The sequence below is a fragment of the Homo sapiens genome, chromosome 10 (assembly GCF_000001405.40).
Source record: "Homo sapiens chromosome 10, GRCh38.p14 Primary Assembly".
In the NCBI taxonomy this organism is placed as follows: domain Eukaryota; kingdom Metazoa; phylum Chordata; class Mammalia; order Primates; family Hominidae; genus Homo; species Homo sapiens.
This window is the reverse complement of record NC_000010.11, coordinates 116,503,619-116,505,654: the sequence shown is the minus strand read 5'-3', so window position 1 is coordinate 116,505,654 and position 2,036 is coordinate 116,503,619.

The window sequence follows — 2,036 nt, the reverse complement described above, 5'->3', positions numbered from 1 at the left end:
GCTTCTGTGCCTGGTACTTACGCTGCTATTGTCATCTCTGATTTCCCCTCTCACTGAACAACTTTGGAGCCACTGATTCTTTCTAGTGAATTGGGGATGTAACAAACACAGGAAACAAACACAGGAGTAACAAGAAATTGTGCAAATTAACGAGCTCAATTGAAGAATAAACCCACAAATGGTGCGAGAAGACATCAGCTGAGAAGGCTTGCTACTAAGTAAAATGCTTGCTGAGGCCAAAGGATAGATTCCATCCTCAGAGCACATTGTTAAGAAGGAAGCAGGGGTTCCAAGGAAATGATAGTAAATGTTACATTTCCTATTTGTCAAGTGCTTGCAAACAACATTGTTTCATTCCTTCATTCCTCTGAAACTTCCAAGCTAAATGCTCACCTCTTGATGGAACCCTCTCTGTGAAGTGTGGGACAGTGAACCTCACGAGCTGAGGGCCATGTTTATTTTCTTCTTTTGAACCCTGCTGCCAAACATGGGGCCTGGACAAGAGCAACTCTATAAATACCTGTTGAAGTAATGAACACACGCGCCATTATCAGCCTGAGATACAGGAAGTGTTCGTGATTTCTCACTTTATCATCACTTGCCACTCTCAGGCCCTTAGTGCATGTTAAGGAGATGCAAACAAATCACCTTTTTCCGCCTACTCAAAGTGCACAGGGGATAATAGTAACACCCGAGCGGAGGATGACAAATCATTTTTGTGTGTCAATAATAATTAACTGGTTGTAACTGCCCAGATCATTGGAGTGAGAAGGAATCTGAGGTCACATTTGATTTCAGTGGGAAGAGGACGTTGATCAATTAGTCGCAGGGCCATTGGTTGGGAGTAAAAAATGGTATTACATTGGCTATGCATTTTCCATTCCCGTCTTTAGTGGGTTATTTTGACAGTAAAAAGCTAAACAGTTTAAATGCTGATGGTGGAATTGAAGGTGCCAGCAATAAGGTGGAGGAGTGATTGAAGATACCAGCCTTTTGATGGATTCTCCAAAAATCCCAAGGCTTTACCTGCCTATAGTCTGCTCCATACAGGGTATTAGATGAGGCTTTGGGGACAATAAAAGACAGGCCAATGGTTCTCTTACCTGGATGAACATCAGAAATACCTGTGAAATTTTATAAAATCAATTCCTCAACTGAGATCTATTAGATCACATGATCAGGGGCAGTATTTTGGGTTCATTTTTTTTTTAATTCTTTGATTACTCAGATGCACATACAAATTTGGGAAACAATGATAGACATCTACTGGGGGGAACTGAAATCTGAATCATTCCCAGTAAGATAACTAGGAAGCTGTTTGTCAAAGCTCCTCCTTAGGATTCTATGCAGCAATGGTAGGTAGTGTATTTCACGACTCTGATATCCAGATATCTGGTTGTCTCTCTTTTTGTGATGTTAGTAGCCAATGATAATCATTGCTTAGATACTATAATTCTTTAAGGTTTGAAAATAATGGAATCCTAATTATGTAATTTCTATTTCATGTATTAGCTAGAATATTTCTATAAAGAGGAATTTGCCTCTCTATTTACTATTACTTGCCTCTTTAATAACTAATTACTGTGAGTTACAATTCATATAGGAAAAACAGGATCAATGATTTACCATTTATTTGCCAATTTTCAAAGTAATGAGTTTATCATCCTCCAAAGGTGATGAATAAACTTTTTGTTTTGATTTCTAGTATCGTTTTGAACTTATGAGTAAACAAATTTTTAAATGTTTCCATCTGTGGCCATTGCCATATAACTACTGTTTATTGATGATTTATTGATGCTCATAGCGTCCCATCTGCAATAAGTATGAGCCTCTTTAAGTCAGCTCCTTAGTCTCTTTAACATGACCCTGTAATCCTTGACAGTTTGCTTTCAGGTCAGACAAGATGTGCTGGCCTCATCTTCAATCTGAAGTCAGCCATTTCTCTAAGAAGCTTTGGTTATTTTTATTGGGAAATGGCAAGTGGAGGTCACAATTTGGGTGTTAGGGTGTTCATCAGTACTGGACTGGTTATTGTT